Raw genomic sequence first — 18,293 nt, forward strand, 5'->3', positions numbered from 1 at the left:
TGGGTTCTCTCTGCGTCATTTTTTAATTGTTTTTCTTTCCTTGTGTAGAAACAGCAGCAAAATGTATTATTAAAATATCAATTGACGTTTTGTGCTTGCTACTTCTGAATAAATAGGAAAGTTTTCGTGTTTCTAATCTGGGCTCCCTATGTGGAAAGGGTTTTTGTACTGCAAGATGTAAAATTGCAATTTTGAAGCACCAGCACCCAGAAAATAAGTCTCACTTAGGTTTTGTTGTCTGAGAAATTGACTTATTTCTAGCAATGGAGGTGGGAACATAGAAAAGGCAGAACTCAACCACCTAGAAAACAAAAGGCTAGTTTCTTTAAGACTGAAAGGGAAAGGTAGAATCACTGGTGGCAGTTCTAGAGGGGGCTGGTAGTGGGATTGGGTAGGGAGACCTATGTTCCTACGGTCACACTGCACCCACAAAAGTGCTCGGCTTCTCAAGGGATGGTGAATGCATGGATATCCAGGCCCTGGAGGACTGAGTAGCATGAGTCAAGGGTATATAGGACTATGCCCTAGCCACGTTGATCGGGTACAAGAGTTATGTGGCAAAGAGCCTCATCACCCTAGTCACCCCAGTCTAGTTCAGCTGATAGAAAGTCTATACCTCTGACACGTAAGTGAGCCCAGGCAAAATCCCAGAGTCACCCAGCAGACCACCAGCAGATTTCAGATTCCTGAGCAATAAACACTTATGTGTCAAATAAAATAGAGAGGAAGACAATTATTTGGAAGCTAGATAATTGTGCATGCCTGACTGAGAGACTGGAGGGTTCTGCTGTGATGGGAGTGAACCAGCAGTACCTTTATGAGCCAACGACAAAATTCACAAAAATGGAATCCCTGCTCCTGTTTGCTCAGCACTTTGTGTGCCTCTTCAGGTTCTTCAGTATCTCTAGAAAGAACCCTGTCGGGACTTCCTTATACATGATAAAGTGGAACTTCAAGCCAATTCTAATAGGTGCTCACCAAGCCAGAATAATTTTTCCCCAGCTTTATTGGGGTATGATTGACAAATAAAAATTGTATGCATTTAAAATGTACAACCAGATGTTTTGATACATGTATACATTGTGAAATGCTGACCACCATTAAGCTAATAAACGTATCCTTCACCTCACCCTAGTCCCCATTTTTGTGTATGTGTATAGTAAGAACATTGAGATTTACTCTCTTAGCAATTTTCAAATATACAACACATCATTGTTAGCAATAGTCACCCTTCTGTACCTTAAGTCTGTACATTTATTCATCATATAACTGCAAGTTTGATCACAGCTCTTTTCTTCTAACCCAAAGCCCCTGATAGCCACCACTCTACTCTCTGATACTATAGAATAATTCTAATTTAGAAAAAAAAATGTACTCTTCCTTAAATCTGATATATCTGACCATACTTATTTCTGATTAACATGAGGAAAGAGGAAATGACGAGGAAAATTTGTCTGGAGAAGACTTGTCTTTCAGCTTCTGGCTTTCCTGGGTCTCCAGCTTGCCAGTTGCTTATTTTGGGACTCATCAGCCTCCATAATCTCATGAGCTCATTCCTTAGAATATATATATATATATATATAAATATATAGATATCTATCTCTATATATGAATATATCTATATATGAATATACTTAGGAATATATAGGTATATATATTCTAAGCTTATTTCTTAGAATAAGTATATATATAGGAATATATATATATATATATATATATACACACACACACATGCATTTCATTGGTTCTGTTTCTCTTTACAAAGCAATACACTTAATATGATTTCTAAATTAATCAATTAATTGTTCCTGGTTAGATCATGGCTGTAGATAATTTTCCTTTGGGATTCAATTCTCAAATCTCTAATTATGACATGTCCTAAGAAATACACCGAGACACCGCAAGAATTCCATTATTAGGTTCCCCCCGACCACCTTTTTTGTTGGGGGACAGGGTCTCGCTCTGTCGCCCAGGCTGGAGTGCAGTGGTGCAATCACACAGCTCACTGCAATCTGCGCCTCACCGGCTCCAGTGATCCTCCCACTTCAGGCTGGCTTTTTAATTAAAAAAAATTAAACACTGTATCTCCATGAAATAATCAATGACTTGTCCATATTTCTGAGTTTAGTTCTTCTTCCTTAGACTAGTATGCAGTGTGACCCTGGTAGAGTCACTGAAGCTATTTACTGTGAATAAAATCTTACCATCAAATTAGATTCATGCCGCTGACATACACAAAAGGTCTGATGACAATTAATCACACTATATAGTGTATTCAAATTTAAATGATCACAGTAAAAATGATAAATAATAAGCTATCATCTTTTTTCTTCCAAAATGTGGTTATATAATTACAATAAATTTATTTTGATTTTAAGGGTGTATTGTCATTAAAGGGAGTTTAGCTATGCCACTAATACTGTGACTTGTAATTTTAATATTTATCTTTTATCGTGCCTTTATAAAATATAAAAATTTTTCTGTGTCCAAATATACCCAAGGAATCCATTCAAACAACTGGTATTCACAAACTTCCAAACAGTATTAAATGTCTCTATTACATGACTGAATATATTAATAAGTGCCAATTTTATGTTTTCTATGATGTTAGTAGGGTTATTTCTCTTCTCTAGACTATTATTTTTTAAATTTCTATAATTTGCATATACATGCATATGACTGAGGCCATATCTACACATAGCATCTGGTCTTGACCAGAATTAAACTAGAAATGTCAGCACCCAGTTCAAGCATTTAAATGACATCAGACATTCATATTTGAATTTAATTTTAATTCATGCAGAAGGAAATGGCTGGATTGAATAAGAAATTAAGTTTCTTGTCACCCATAGTTACTACTGGAGAAAAATGGAAAAGAGGAAAGAAGGTAAATGAAGGCTCTGCTCGTGTAACATATTCAAGCCTTAAGGAAGCTTTCACATCTGTCACAGAAGAGGAATCCATTTCTTAACACAAGAATCTGCTCTCTTTCCAATCATTGTGAACCACGTTTTTAATGTGAAAGAGGTTCTTCTCTCCCATTTGCCCCTTCCACTAACTCCCACTCTGCCACCAATAGTAAAGAAAAGTAAAGCGCACAGATACCTGTCCCTGGGCCACAAAAATAATCAGGTTTTATTAGCTCCAATTAGAAATATGACATGGATATTCAAGGTAATTTGGTGATAACGTAGAGTTGGAAATGAAAAAAAAAAATTGAGAAAGTCTATTAAACTGGTCCCAAATTACACTAAACTTTGAAACAGTACTAATTTTCTCTGAAAATATAAATGGTAGAATCAGTCTGTTTGCAAAAATACACTGAAAAATTCTTTATTTATAGGTAGAATCTAAATTATTTTGGCTAGACACACTAATTCTTAAAAATATTGAATAAATTTTTTAAAATTTTTTTTGGAAGAAGTTTAAGTTGAGTATACAACTTAATCAGGTAATCTGTGAATCATCTTGAAGGGTACGATGGACCACTGACATATTTTTAGAATCACCCTTTCAACTAGTTTCAATGGCAAAACACCAAAAAAAAATAAAGAAAGCCCATGGAACCTTACATCTGAGTTTAACCTCAAATCAATTAGGGCACCGGAAAAAAAAATCTGACAAGGTAAATAGGCCAGCAAAGCTCTGAGGAAGGTTTTAGGATTTTGAAAGGTAATAGTGGCCTATACTCAGTATTCAGGCTTTACAAATACAGCACCAGTGATATATGTATCATAAAAAAGCTACAAAAGATAGTTTCCTTAGAGCAAAGTCAGAAACTAAAATTTTTGCAGGAATAGTAAGTCAAACAAATATTAACCTTTTCTAGCTTGAGATTGAAAAGTTAGAATTTTTTCTTTGCTCCTCTTCAGTAATAGATTGTCTTAAGAATTTCCCCTGAGCTCAGTTCTTTGCCAGTTCACTGGTGGTTTCACATGTTTTCAATATTACAAATAATACATTTTTTTTTTTTTGAGATGGAGTCTCACTCTGTCACCCAGACTGGAGTGCAGTGGCATGATCTCGGCTCACTGCAACCTCCACCTCCCATGTTCAAGCGATTCTCCTACCTCGACCTCCTGAGTAGCTGGGATTGCAGGCACCCACCACCACGCCCGGCTAATTTTTGTATTTTTAGTAGAGACGGGGTTTCACCGTGTTGGCCAGGCTGGTCTCGAACTTCCGACCTCACGTGATTCACCCACCTTGGCCTCCCAAAATGCTGAGATTATAGGCATGAGCCACCACGCCCAGCCCAATAATACAATTTTTAACATAAAAATTAGAAGCCAAGTTAAGACCACAAGCATCCTAGGAACCTGTGTAGGAAAGCATATGTGGATGAGAGACTCAGGTTCCTTGTTCCAAAGGCAAAAAATATTGAATATTAAACATGAGATTCCCTGCTCTCCTCAGCCTGGTATGGTCTATGAACAAATGCTAAATACTTTGTATCTGAAATTTTAAAAGTCATATTTTTAAATGACGGTATTTTTTACGTGTCATAATTAGGGTATTCTAACTATAAACATATGTCTGTCCTTATTGTAGTGATTTCAGATATTATCTAAAATAACACATAGTTTACATTCTTACTTTATGCCAAACAGTAAGCTTAGCACATTACAAATATCATCTTATCCTTAAAATTACCCTACAAAATAGGTAGCACTGTTATCCCCCTTTTCAAGAGCACAGAGAGATTAACTAACTTATTAAAGTTCGCACAGTTAGTAAGTGATAGAGATGAGATTTGAACCCAGAATCTGTAGGCTAAACACAAACTAGTACCAGACTACACATTTTAAATTCTTATTTTACAGTGTCCCTTGTAATTAGTATCTATGACCCATAGTAGCTCCCAGAATTGTTTTGAGTTTGCTTTATTTCAATAGTTAAAACATTGCTTGAAGAAGTTCCTCCACAAATATTCATCTAGCACTTTCTCCTGAAAATGCGGCATAGATGTTAATGATAAAACATGTTCTCATGAAGACAATAACAAGTATTATTCATGACAGTTTTTCTCTTATGGAATTAATGATGAGACACAACTACAGATAAAATGGTATGCTCCCCTTCAGTCCTCTAATTCCGGAGTGCCGTTGAAGAAGAGCAGGTCACTTTAAGCTGCAGTGATGTGTGTGTGTATGGAGAGGAAAGAATGCAGAGTGGTTTGGAGACCTGGCTCAGGAGTCAGAGTTATCTGGCATAGCACTCAGGCATTTCAATATATTTGTGTGTCCTTTTGGACTTAACTTCCCATTTTCCTCATCTATAAACTGGGGAAATAATGAGCCATATCTGCTAGAGTTTCAGTAAAGATTTAACAACACAATGTACGTAAAGCACCAAGGATATGCCAGGTGTGTAATACACACTTGATCTACATGGACTCATTCATTGTCAATGTTACTCCAATGCAGCTCTGGACCCAGAGCCACACATTCCCACCCACACAGCACACGCAGTGCTGGAGAGGAAGTGGGCCTAGGAGGGCCTGCAGGTACAGGCAGCTGTAGAGCTGCTAGAAGCTGGGGTGATGCTCGCCCCACTTTCCTGTAGACACCACAGGTACTGTCTGCCTGTTGTCACACAGTTCATATGCTTGCTTGTGATGGAACCTTGGTCCCAGGATCTGTGCTGTTTTCCACTTTGTTACACTGTCTAAGGTGGCTTTTAACTGGAACCCAAGTGCAAATAAAGGTTGGTATTCGGCTCCTGACTTTGTGTAGAGAAAACAGTCCTTTTGGTCACTCCCAGACCACAGCAATCAGTCATGATTTTGTTGAATAATCAAAGCTGAACCCATACATGGTAGGGTCAGTTAAGGATGTTTGCTTTGGGCAACAGCCTACTTTTTGTCTCATATTAAATTAATACCTGAGTTAAACAAAAACAGAAACACCTCACATACACTATTCAGAATCTGCTAAATTGTCTTTTAAAAACTGCTTGCCCAACTTATTAGCAACAACGATAAAAGACGAAATTTTCATGATTTCCTAGTATCCTGGATTCATAAAGCATCAAGAAGGCATATGGTATTATATGAGCATGAAATAATAACATGGACTGCTCTGCTTACCAAATTCAGTCAAGTCCAAAGGCAGCACATGCAGAGGGAGCATGACTGCCTATAAGAAACAAACAATTTTGGTGTTTAAGTCTGTGTTTTCTTTTTTTTTTTGAGACGGAGTTTCGCTCTTGTTGCCCAGGCTGGAGTGCAATGGCACGATCTCGGCTCACCGCAACCTCTACCTCCCAGGTTCAAGCGATTCTCCTGCCTCAGCCTCCCTAGTAGCTTGGATCACAGGCATGTGCCCCTATGCCCGGCTAATTTTGTATTTTTAGTAGAGGCGGGGTTTCTCCATGTTGGTCAGGCTGGTCTCGAACTCCTGACCTCAGGTGATCCATCCGCCTCGGCCTCCCAAAGTGCTGGGATTACAGGCATGAGCCACTACGCCCAGCCTAAGTTTGTGTTTTCTATCACATAAAATGTCGTAGAATGATGAACTAATGGAAGAATGGAAAGAAAACTTACAATACAAATGAAAATATTTTACAAAATACTTCCTTATAAGGAAGCCCATCAGACTAACAGTGGACCTCTCAGCAGAAACCCTAAAAGCCAGAAGAGATTCAGGACCAACATTCAACATTCTTAAAGAAGAGAAATTCCAACCAAGTATTTCATATCCAGGGAAACTAAGCTTCATAAGCAAAGGAGAAATAAGATCTTTTTCAGACAAGCAAATGTTGAAGTAATTTGTAACCATCAGACCTGCCTTACAAGAGCTCCTGAAGGAGGCACTAAATGTGGAAAAGAAAGACCATTACCAGTCACAGAAACACACTGAAGTACACAGATCAGTGACACTATAAAGCAACCACACAAACAAGTCTGCATGATAACCAGCTAACATCACGATGACAGGATCAAATCCACACATTTCAATACTAAATCTTGAACGTAAATGGGCTAAATGCCCCAATTAAAGGCACAGAGTGGCAAGCTGGATAACGAGACCCAACTACATGCAATGACAACAATAGGCTAAAATAAAAAGATAGAGAAAAATCTGCCAAGCAAATGGAAAACAGAAAAAAATAGGGGTTGCAATTCTAATTTCAGAAAAAATAGACTATAAACCAAAAAAGATCAAAAAAGACAAAAAGGGGCATTACATAATGGTAAAGTGTTCAATTCAACAAGAAGACCTAACTATCCTAAATATATATGTGTGCAACACAGGAGCACTTAGATTCATAAAGCAAGTGCTTAGAGACATTCAAAGATATTTAGACTCCCACACAATAATAGCGGGAAACTTCAATACCCCACTGACATTATCAGACAAATCATTGAGACAAAAAACTTAACAAAGGTCTTCAGGACCTAAATTCAGCACTAGATTAAATGGATCTGATAGAAATCTACAGAAGTCTCCACCAAAAACAATAGAATATACTTTCTTCTTTTTTTAAGAAAAATAAAATTATTTTTTATTTTTTAAACTTTTTGTGGGTACATAGGTGTATATACTTACAGGGTACAGAATATACATCCACCTCATTGCCACATGGTACATACTCTAAAATCAACCACATAATTGCACATAAATACTCCTCAGCAAACGCAAAGGAACTGAAACCATAACAAACACTCTCTCAGATCACAGTGCAATAAAAATGAAATTCAGGACCAAGAAAGTATTGACATTCTTCACAGAACTAAAGAAAACTATTTTAAAATTCATATGGAACCAAAAAAGAGCCTGAATAGCCAAAGCAATTCTAAGCAAAAAGAACAAGGCTGGAGGCACCATGTTACTCAACTTCAAGCTATACTACAGGGCTATGGTATCCAACACAGCATGGTACTGGTACAAAAACAGACACATAAACCAATGGAATAGAAGAAAGAACCCAGAAATAAGGCTGCATACCTTCAACTATCTGATCTTTGACAAACCTGACAAAAAACAAGCAATGGGGAAAAGATTTCCTATTTAATAAATGGGGCTGTAATAACAACTGCCTAGCCATATGGAGAAGATTGAAACTGGACCCCTTCCTTACACCATATACAAAAATCAACTCCAGATAACTTAAAGATTGCATTGTAAAACCCAAAACTATAAAAACCATGGAAGACAACGTAGACAATACCATTCAGGACATAGGCATGGACAAAGATTTCATGATGAAGATACCAAAAGGAATTGCAAGAAAAACAAAAATTGACAAGTGGGGTCTAATTAAATCAAAGAGCTTCTTCACTGCAAAAGAAACTATCCACAGAGTGAAAAGATAACTTACAGAAAGGGAGAAAATTTTTGCAAACTATGCATTCAACAAAGATCTAATATCTAGCATCTATATGGAACTTAAACAAATAGACAAGAAAAAAACAGAACCCCATTAAAAAGTGGGCAAAGGACATGAACAGACACTTTTCAAAAGAAGTCGTACACGCAACCAGCAAGCATATGAAAAAAAGCTCAACATCACTGATCATTAGAGAAATGCAAATCAAAACCACAAAAAGATACCATTTCACACCAGTCAGAATGCTGGTGAGGTTGTGATGAAAAAAGGAACACTTATACATTGTTGTTCCTTATAAGTGTATAAGGAACACTTATACATGGTGGGAGCATAAATTAGTTCAACCACTATGGAAAGCAGTCTAGCAATTCCTCAAGGAGCTAAAAACAAAAGTACCATTCAACCCAGCAATCACCTTCCTGGGTATATACCCACAGGAATATAAATAACTCTATTATAAAGACACATGCACACGTATGTTCATTGCAACAGTATTTCCAATAGCAAAAACACAGAATCAACCTAAATGCCCATCAATGGTAGACTGGATAAATAAAATGTGGTACATATATACCTTGGAATACCATGCAGCCATAAAATGGACAAGATCATATCCTTTGCAGGAACATGGATGGAGCTGGAGGCCATTATCCTTAGCAAACTAACAAGGAACAGAAAACCAAATACCACTTGTTAGCACTTATACAGGGGAGCTAAATGATGAGAATGCATGGATACACGGAAACACACACTAGGGCCTACCTTAGGGTGAAAGGTGGCTGAAAACAATGCAAATTTATTCTCTTACAGCTCTGTAGGTTGGAAGTCCATAATCAGTTTCACCAGGCTATAAAATCAAGGAACAGGGAGGCCTGTATTTCTTCTGGAGATTCTAAGAGAGTCTGTTTCCTTATCATTTCCAGCTTCTAGAGGTGCCTACATTCCTCAATGCATGGTCCCTTCCTCCATCTTCAAGGTGCACTGCTCAGCTCTGATCTGTTCTTATGTCTTCTGTCTCCTGCTCTGATCCTTCTGCCTCCCACTTACAAAGACCCCTGTGACTACAATGGGCCGATCTGGGTAATCCAGGATAATCTCATCTCAAGATCCTTAATTTAATTACATCTGCAAAGTCCCTTTTAACATGTAAAGCAACATTCACAGATTCTGGGGATAGAATGTATTAGCATCTTTGAGGGTAAGATATTATTCAACCTACCACAGGTAGATACCATTTATTACATTCTTTTTGCACATGAGAAAAAAATATAGTAATTATTAATACCACTATATACAATGAGAAACAAGAATTCAGAGGCTAAACAACACAAACTCACAAAACTGAAAAGTAGGCACCAACATATAAACATAGTGTTTCTAACCCTAAGTCTGTTTCCACTACACAATTCTGCTCCCGAAGTAGAAAAAAAAAATAAAGGAAGGACTCCCTGCTTAAGGGTAGATTTTGTTATTTTCTTGGATTAAAAATAATTACTATATATTTATTGAATGGCTAACTACATGTAAGATCCAATTTTAGATTCCGGGAATAAATGAGAATCAGATACAGTCAGTCTCAAGGTAATCCTTCATCTTTCCATATATTTAAATACCTATAATTCCTAAATGTATATATACAGTACTGACCAAATTTAACTACCTCATTAACATTCCCAGTTTCATGTTCTATAAACTTTTCCAATGTGCCAAGTCTGAAACTGAACTCTTGATTTTTTCCTACAAATGTTCATCCCCCATCCTTCACCACCTCAGGAAATGATCTCACCGTACTCCCCTCCCTCACCACTCATAGCTAATCAATAATTGAATACCTTAAATTTTGCCCCCCAAATATATCTTAATTCCATCTACTTCTCCTTATTGGCATTGCCTCCAGACTCCTAATTAGTATCTTCATTTTCATTCTTATATCGCCTCAATCTAACCTCCGTACATAGACTGCATGATCTATTTAGAATATAAATGAGATTATGTCAATTGCATGTTAAAATACTTCAGTAACTACCTACAGCACTTAAAATAAAATTCAAATTTTTCTTGCTATACTGGGTAACCATATAATATGTTCTGTTTAGGACTTTTCTGTGCCTGTTGTCCTGGCATAACTAGTAATACAGTCTCCTTTCATGCCTAAAATTATTCCACTTGGATGATAAGTCTCTTGATCACCACATCTGTAGAGCCCTGTGTGATCTTTCTTTTGCCTAAATATTATTCTCATAGCTGAAGACTTCTCCCTCAGGACTCAGTGTCTTCTCTTAAGTCTCCCTAGTAGTTGGCTTTCTTTAAAATCTGAACCACTGTATTCAATCCTATAGTTAATTCTTTCATTTGTTGAATGTCTGTTCAATCCATTAGGGTGCACAGAGAGAACCAGGCTCGTATCTGCATTGTTTACTCATACATACCTCAGTCAACATCGTATCTGAAACAAGATAAAAGCCCACCAATATCTGCTGAAGATTAATGACTAAATAAGCTTACCATATAGACAGAGAGATAGTAAAAGTATAGTATGACATTTACGTAATATGAATGTGTTCAAGATATCAACTACCAAAATTAATACAAAAAAGAAAATAATTATTTCTGCCTCCAGAGAAGGGTTGACTAGGAAAGACTCCATAAATGGAGGATGCCCAAACAGGCTTGATGGATGAATAAGATCATGCAGCATGAACCAAGAAGCCAAGAGAAGACTTCTAAGCTTAGGGGATGGCATTTGCAAAGGCAAAAAGGTATAAAACTAATTATTCAGGAAACTCAAAGTAGTTTCTCTTATTAGAGTGTACAATGTCATATAAATGATATATTAATAACACAAACCTTAAGGACAAAACCTAAATTGTAGAGACACAGCAGAAAATACAGACAGCACTAACAAATTTGAAGCTTAGCTTTTTTTTTTTTTTTTTTTTTTTTTTTTTGAGATGGAGTTTCCCTCTTGCTGCCCAGGCTGCAGTGCAGTGGTGTGATCTCGGCTCACCACAACCTCAGCCTCCCAGGTACAAGCAATTCTTCTGCCTCAGCCTCCTTAGTAGCTGGGATTACAGGCATGTGCCACCATGCCCAGCTAATTTTGTATTTTTAGTAGAGATGGGGTTTCTCCATGTTGGTCAGGCTGGTCTCAAACTCCTGACCTCAGGTGACCCACCTGCCTCGGCCCCCCAAAGTGCTGGGATTACAGGTGTGAGCCATGGCACCTGGCCTGAAGCTTAGCTTTGTTTTCATTTATAGTCCTAGAATGATTTGATAAGTTCTATTGCATATTTAACTCACCTTATAAATTATAGAAGTTCTTAGATAAATCCATTTCGGAAGTGCTATATTTCAAACTTCATTGCCATAAAGAATCCTCACAGTTGCAGTTATTACATAACAGTTACAAAATTATAATACACAGTCCATAAGGAAACTCTACTGCGAGTTATGGTGTATAGAACTAAGCTGAGCTTTTCTGTCAAGTAAAATTTTTGGTTTAAATTTTAATAATTATGTCAAATTTCTTTTTTCTATAATGTGCTTTTATTCATTATTACATTATTTAAAAAAGGCCAAAACCACTATGTTATTATTTTGGCATTTATATTGTACAAACGTATAGATAAAAATATCTATGGAATCTTAAAAGACTTCGGGTCATATTTTGATGTAACTAAGAGTTGACATAATTAAAACTCATCATTGACCTATTTCTCTAGAAATAGAAAATTATCAAGATAGATATCTGGTATAGATAATCATAGATATTTGTTTTGAACATTTAGAATGTATACTAGAAGTTGCACACTAGCAGACTGCATGATAAGAATGCTTTGTTTAGACTCCAGTGTTTCAAAAATTGACTTAAGATTTAAATTTGGGAAATCACAAAAAATCCAGAATTCTGGCCACTCTTAAAAAAATTAAAAGATCAGCTAACTCTAGTAATATTCCCCAATTCACAGTCCCCTAGAAACTAGTAAATGCTCTCTGTAACCACAGACCCACCTCCCCTATCACCCCAGAACACTGCCCTTATATATGTGACATGCCTAAGCCTTTGTGTAAGACTAAAACTCTCAACCATTAAAAACCAATTGAAGATCATCAAAAAGACTAAGAATATATTTAGACTTTGCTCATTTGTAATAGTGAGAGTTAAACATAAAGGCTATTTTTAAAAATCATCTAAACATGAACAAATTCAGACATTCAACCCTTTCTTTCTTGGATTTTATTAGTTAACTAGACTATACCGAAACAAATAAGCCAAACAAATCCAGTATAACAATTCCTCCCCCTGACTACCAAGCTATTTGTTTTGGCACCTAGTCAATTCAATAAAAATGATACAACACAATAATCTAAAAATATATATCACGCATTTAATCTGTAGTTTACCTAAAAGTACCTCTCTGTTATGTATCTTTCATTGCAGCAAATATACTTTATTTTATTTAAATGGGAAGACAACATATTTTCAATATGAAAACTGTTCCAGGTTAGGAAATATTAACCTAAAAATGTAATTTCCATAGAAATTGACAGGCACTTACCTTAGCTATCTGGACACACCAGTTAAGCAGCAGTTGTGATCCAATGTTATCCTTGTGCTCGTGGACATACTCCAACAGGCAGCCATGGGGCATAAGTTGAGTAACCAGCTGGATGGTTGGGCTCAGACACACACCCAGCAACCGGACTAGGTGTGGATGATCCATACTTGCCATGATCAGAGCTTCCTGTAAGAAAAAAATGCAATACCATGATTTCAACTCAAATTTTCTTAGATTTAGAGTTACTTGGATTGTACTAATGGTGCTGATGATTTTTAAAAATGTACTCTTACTCAATGGAATCAATCAAAATGAAAAGACATAATTTCAGTTATTCTATCTTTAAAGTGATTTCATTCAATAAAATTAAATAAACAACAAAGTCTCTACATGCATTAACATGGAAGCTGTTATACAATAACTGCCTACACAATTAATAGCAGTATTTTCTCCTTTGTAATATGAGCAATATGAGATTTTACTTATTGCCAAGTAAGTCAAAATGAATTCCAGCTTATATTATGGATTTTTAACCTTTGACCTTTGCTCTGGTAAAATAATGTATACAAATTTAGTTAGTTGCAGGTAGAGTAAGGTGAGCTGAACTTTGAAGTCACCCATTATTGGTGTAGAGTTGGACAGCTTACAACGGTGTCATGTATAAATCGTAAATATGGAAATGTAGATAATTACAAGTAATATGTCTATTGTCAATTTATATAAAATAATAAACATTTTAATAAGATATTTTGTTTCATAATTTTACCTTTCCTCAAATTTATTTCATTTTCAAAATTATAAGTGATGTCTTATTCATAGATTCATAAAATTTGAGAGCTGAGACTATAAAAATTTGACTACTCCAACTTTTTTTTTTTTTTTTTTTTGAGACGGAGTCTCGCTCTGTCGCCCAGGCTGGAGTGCAGTGGCGGGATCTCGGCTCACTGCAAGCTCCGCCTCCCGGGTTCACGCCATTCTCCTGCCTCAGCCTCCCAAGTAGCTGGGACTACAGGCGCCCGCCACTACGCCCGGCTAATGTTTTGTATTTTTAGTAGAGACGGGGTTTCACCGTTTTAGCCGGGATGGTCTCTATCTCCTGACCTTGTGATCCGCCCGCCTCGGCCTCCCAAAGTGTACTCCAACTTTTATATTTCATAAAATGAGAAAACTGAGTTATAATTTTGCATCAGAATCATAAAGGCACCACTGCTTAATGGGGATAAAAGTGGACATATGATGGTTATTTAGTGCATACCAGTTAGCTTCTAATAAAAAGTTATTATAAGACTCTTGATTGTAATTTGAAATAGACATAACCATAAAATAAATGTTTATGTACTTTGTTACGGCTTGATATGTGCTTTTATATTATGAAAGCCAATAAAATATTGTTCATCTCCTACGAAAACAATAGTAAATTTTTGCTTTTGAAAAGCTATGTAATATCACCTACGTAGTATTCTTGTCAATAATATCTGAATCTAATCATGAGGAAAAAATCAGACAAATCCATATTGTAGGACATTCTGCAAAGAAACTGGCCTGTACTTATTTAAAATGTCAATATTAGGAGAAACGTAAAAGAAGTGTATGATGTTCAAACTAACATTTATTACAGAAATAGAGCAATGTTGCATCTTTGGCTCTTGGATAAAAAAATATATAAAACATTCTTGGGATAATTGAGGAAATCTAAATAGGGACTATATATCATGTACTATTATATCAATGTTAAATATTTGAGAGTGGTAATGGTATTGCAGCTATGTAAAGTAGTATTCTTTGATCTTAGAAGATCCTGAAGTCTTTATAGATGAACTATCTTGTGTCTGCCATTTACTTTCAAATAGTTTACTCACACAGGGAGGGAGAGAGATATATAATATATGTATACGTATCTATGTTTTTGATGTGTCTATACATATATATACACACAAATGCACATACACATAGAGGGTGTAATATGTATATGGCAATGGATTATCAGTTGGTTTTTCTATATGAAGGTACAGTGTTCATTGTATTACTCTTGAACATTTTCTATAACTTTGAAACATTTCAAAATAAAAAATTAAGGACACAAATTATATTGAGTTTCCATTTAACATGGTATGGCAGATTGAATTCACAAATTACTTCCCTTTCATTTCAACTTCATTATACTGACAAAAAAAGAGTTAATTTTAAAAGACAGACACCAACAATCACAGAAAGGAGGCAATAAAGATAGAATAGTAAAAGTAGGAAGTGGCTTATCAGTGTTAGCCAACTTGGTAAACATAAGCAATCTGAAGCCTAATTTAATGGGGGGAAACTGAGAAGCAACCCAATAATGTATAACACCAAAGGCTGAGGAGTAGTAGTATTACAAACCTCCCTAAACAGAGCAAGAAGAACTGTTTTCAGCGGGAATGCTTCAGAGTACATTTAGGAAACACTTAGACTACACATCTCCTTCTTCCCTTTACCTCTAGGAAATCTTAAACCAAAAGAACTGTGGACTGTGGATATCAGGCAAAATGGAAAGAGAAGTACTCTGGGGAAAATAGAAGTATTATGTAAATTTACATATGATAAAAATATGGACGATTTCTTCCATTCCATCTCCCAAATAGAGCTGTGACTTCAAAATTCTCAAAGTTTTGTTTCAACCTAGAATTTTACACCTAGCAGCATTTCAACCAAGTGAATGCATACAACAGACATGTTCAGACATGCCAAATCTTGATACATGTACCTTCCATGCTTCCTTTCTTTGTAAACGTGCTCATAAAAAAGGGAGGGGGTGTTAGAAGAGTACATAAAATCAAGGAAACAAACATCAAGCATGAGATATGGAAATACAAAAAATACAGTGAATAATTTTCTAGAATAAAAGCTATACAACAAACGGAAATAGCAGCCAGCCCAAACTGGAACAGGACAAATAGCTCTGGGAAAGGTGACCCAAGAAGATGGAATTGATAGAATGCCTGATGAACTTAAAATACATTAAGAAAGTATTTATTTTTCTAGTGGGAGTTGAAGGTCAAATTAGTGATAGATACATAGAAAACTAAGCTAAAGTAAAAAAGAAGAAATTAACCTGAGATAAAACACAAAGATATGCACAAGAAAGACTCAGAAAGGTGAGGAGCTAAGAGGGGAGTGGATGATGAGAGATTGCTCAATAGGTACAATGTATCTTGAGTGATGGATACACTAAAAGTCTTAACTTCCCCATTAGGCAATCTATGTATGTAACAAAATTATACTTGTACTCCATAAATTAATACAAATAATTAAACAGAAAATCATACTTACGATACAGCACAACTGGGAATAGTTACATAATCATAATAGTTTAAACATGAAATACTGATATAATCAGAAATCATATAGCTGTGGGAAGATGGGACAGAGTATGCCCTTCTGAAAGGTGGTGATGGGAATGGAGTGAAAGGTACATAACCATTGCTGGTTGCAAAAAGTTAGCATATGATACATAGGCTAAAAAGAAAAAATTAAGACTTCACAGTATAAGCATATTATTTAAATGTATGGAGTTAAGTAACAGAAGAAATTTCCAAAGATTTGAAAGTGATTGATTTGGGCAGTGGAAAATGGGGGCAGGGAAGGGACAGCAGGGTAGCTAGCATCTTTCATCATTAGTCTTGTCAAAGTATTTCACTTTTTTATAATTACCTTAAAGCTACTTGGGAGGACATTATCCCCTTTAACCGTCCCTACTATTTTACCGCTGTTGAGTTCAGCTGTGCCTTACAAGAGTTATTCACAAATATGCAGTGTTTGATGGGGTATGTGGGCTTCCCAGATCCAGCCAAGGGTTTATCGTGAGGTTTAACATTTTATTTTTTCAGTAAGGAAAAGGGGGCAGCATGGGAACACGCCTGGAGAAAGGAGTGATAGAAGACCAAACAAAAGAAGTAAGCTGGTAAAATGCTGTCACTCTCCCTCAAAAGACTTTTTGTTTCTGAGGTTTGGTGGCAAAAACTGAAATCATTGTTTTTCACATGGCTTCCAAGTAAAAAAGATACTTCAATTATCTCTTCCCTAGCTGCCCCAGGGAACAAGAAGAGTCACAGAACAGAGACCAGTTTCTATGCTTTCTTGCTGAGCCCACCAGGACTGCAACAAGATGATGACTGGAAGTTCCGGGTGCACTTTGAGGCGTCACGCCTAGCAAGGACTTCAGCATCCTCACGTGGTACCAGTCAGCAGTAACAGGAGTAGGTCCTCTCCAATGGCTCAGAGAGAAGAGAATTCAACATAGGGACCAGAACTGGTAGGAAAGATCACTGTAGAAACCACAGAAGCATCCTTACATGGTATCAGTCAGCGGTAACAGGAGTGGGACCTCTCCAATGGCTCAGAGAGAAGAGAATTCAACATGGGGATCAGAACTGGTAAGAACGATCACTGTACAGGGAGACTGCAGCTGGAAGGCCAGATTATAGGTAAATAGGAGACACCCAACAAGTTTCCAAAATATCTGCGGAGACTGCTTGGGGGGCCAGGGTTTTGCATAATTAGCAGAGCCAGAAATCTACGTTATTACTATTCATGTGGCCTCGTCTGGATTCACGAGGTGAAAACATTTGCTTTCACTTCTTGTGTATCTCAGTAAACATTTGAAATAAAGCAAAGCAATGTAGTTATAAAGAGAGTATAGATGAAAATGTTAGCCAACTTAAATGATCTATTATTACCTATTATTTAATCTAGTATTAAGTGTATTCACAGTGTAAACCAGAGGGTTCCTTCATTGAATTATAACATGCACATGTAAAAATATACACATACCGACAAATCAGCAAAACATCTAATTAGATTAAATCATTAATTTAATTATATATTTAATTGTGTATTAAGTTAGATACTTAAATATTAGATATCAGATTAAAGTCAATTTATACTTATGTTATTTCTTTTTTGGTGGCTCTGAATTTTTTGTGTATATGAAAGTCACCTAGGTTTACAGTTACAAGTGTGGCCCCACTCCCAGATACTCAGGTTTAGAAGAAGATCTTAGGAGTCTCCATTCGTAGCAAGTACCCTTGTTAAAGGAACTTAGGAAATATAAAATGTTGAGAACCTCTAGCACATCTTGATGTCTCCATCGAATGTGTGCTTCTATAATCCATTGCAAAAGCAATAACATCTAATAATTATTTGATCCTTATTATAATCCCATGAAGCAGTTCAAACTCAAAATTAATTCTCAGCTGCAAAATGAGGAAACCAAAACTCAATGAGATTACCGGCCCAGGTCATGTGACTTGTTAGTAGCAGGATCAGTAAACACTCAGGATTTTTATTCTGACTGTACTGTTACGACAGTAGAAATATCATATTTTTTACTTCAGTTTCATCAGCATATTACAGTGTCAATCTTTATGTTTT

General features: G+C 36.3%; 1 protein-coding gene across 11 annotated transcripts in view; it reads right to left on the bottom strand.

Moving 5' to 3' along the window:
* ERBB4 (erb-b2 receptor tyrosine kinase 4) overlaps window positions 1-18,293 on the bottom strand; it is a 1,163,086-nt gene that overhangs the window by 173,296 nt on the left and 971,497 nt on the right. For all 11 annotated transcript variants that reach the window (NM_001042599.2, NM_005235.3, NM_001439006.1 and 8 more), the window contains one exon: window positions 12,891-13,076. In NM_001042599.2, the coding sequence (NP_001036064.1) occupies window positions 12,891-13,076 (186 nt within the window). The remainder of the gene's footprint in view (window positions 1-12,890; window positions 13,077-18,293) is intronic.

The sequence above is a fragment of the Homo sapiens genome, chromosome 2 (assembly GCF_000001405.40).
Source record: "Homo sapiens chromosome 2, GRCh38.p14 Primary Assembly".
NCBI classification, from domain to species: domain Eukaryota; kingdom Metazoa; phylum Chordata; class Mammalia; order Primates; family Hominidae; genus Homo; species Homo sapiens.